Below are 1,985 nucleotides of genomic sequence, written 5' to 3'. Positions count from 1 at the left end.
CTCATGGTAGATCTCATTTAAGCTTTTTGAAAAACTTCCATACTGTTCTCCATAGTGGCTATGCTAATTTACATTCCTATCAACAGTGCACAGGTGTTTCCCTTTCTCCACATCCTTGCCAACATTTACTGCTTTTTGTCTTTTTGTTAATAGCCATTCTAACTGGGGTAAAATAATATCTCACTGTGGTTTTGATTTGTATTTCCCTGATGACAAGTGATGTTGAGTGTTTTTTCATATACTGGTTGGTGATTTGCATGTCTTCTTTTGAGAAAAGTCTATTCAGGTTATTATTTATTTTTAATCAGATTATGTGTTTGTTTTATTATTGAGTCATTTGCATTCCTTATACGTTCTGGTTATTAATCTCCTGTCAGGTGGATAGTTTGCAAATGTTTTCTCTCCTTCTGTAGGTTGTCTCTTCACTTTAATTGTTTTCTTTGCTGTGAAGAAGCTTTTTATCTTCATAAAATCCCATTTGTCTATTTTAGTTTTAGTGGCTTGTGCTTTTGAGGCCTTACCCAAAAAATCTACGCCCAGACCAATGTCCTGGAGTGTTTCCTTAATGTTTCAGTAATTTAATAGTTTCAGTTCTTACACTTAAATCTTTAATACATTCAGAGTTGATTTTTGTATATGGCGAATGATGGGAATCTAGTTTCATTCTTCTGTGTATGAATATCCAATTCTTCCAGCACCATTTTTTAAGGAGGCCATCATTTCCCAAATATATGTTCTTGGTGCTTTTTTGAAAGTGAGTTGGCTGTAAATGTGTAGATTTACTTCTGGATTATCTGTTCTATTCCATTTGTCTATGTGTATCTCTCTATGTGAGTACTACCCAGTTTTGTTTACCATAGCTTTTTGGTAAATTTTGAAATCAGATAGTGTGAAGCCTTCAGCTTTGTTCTTTTTGCTCAAGATTGCTATAGCTATTCAAGGTCTCTTGTGGTTCTATGCAAATTTGAGGATTTTTTTTTCTTTTTATTTCTCAGTAGTTTTTGGATACAGGTAGTTTTTGGCTACATGGATAAGTTCTTTAGAAGTGAATTCTGAAATTTTAGTGCATCCATCACCTGAGCAGTGTACACTGTATCCAATAAATAATTATTTATCTCCCACCCACTTCCAAACCATCTCCCCCGAGTCCCCAAAGTCTATTATATCACTCTTGTGACTTTTCGTCCTCATAGCTTAGTTCCCACTTACAAGTGAAAACATACAATATTTGGTTTTCCATTCCTCAGTTAATTCACTTAGAATAATGGCCTCCAGCTCCATCCAAGTTGTTGCAAAAGACATTATTTTATTCCTTTTTATGGCTGAGTAGTATTCCATGTTATATATATATACACATATAAAACATGGATATATATATATAAATATATAACATATATATAACCTATATATAAAACATGGATATATATACATATATACACATTTATATATACATATATATACGTGTTTTATATATATATATATATATATATATATATATATATATAAAACATTTTCTTTATCTACTCATTGGTTGGTTGATGGGCACTTAGGTTGGTTCCATATCTTTGCAATTGCAAATTGTGCTGCTATAAACATGTGTGTGCAAGTATCTTTTTCATACAGTGACTGCTTTTCCTCTGGATAGATACCCAGTAGTGGGATTGCTGGATCCAATGGTGGATCTACTTTTAGTTCTTTCAGGAATCTTTATGTTGTTTTCCATAGTGGTTGCACTAATTTACATTGCCACCAGCAGTTCAAAAGTGTTGCCTTTTCACTACATTCATTCTAATATCTATCATTTTTTCACCTTTTAATTATGGCCATTCTTGCAAGGGTAAGGTGGTATCTCATTGTGGTTTTAATTTGCATTTATCTGATGATTAGTGACGTTGAATATTTTTTCATATGTGTGTTGGCTATTCATATATCTTTTTTTGAGAAATGTATATTCATGTTCTTTCCCAACTTTTTGATGTGATTAT

Source organism: Homo sapiens, chromosome 1 (genome assembly GCF_000001405.40).
Source record: "Homo sapiens chromosome 1, GRCh38.p14 Primary Assembly".
NCBI classification, from domain to species: domain Eukaryota; kingdom Metazoa; phylum Chordata; class Mammalia; order Primates; family Hominidae; genus Homo; species Homo sapiens.
This window is presented reverse-complemented; position numbering follows the sequence as displayed.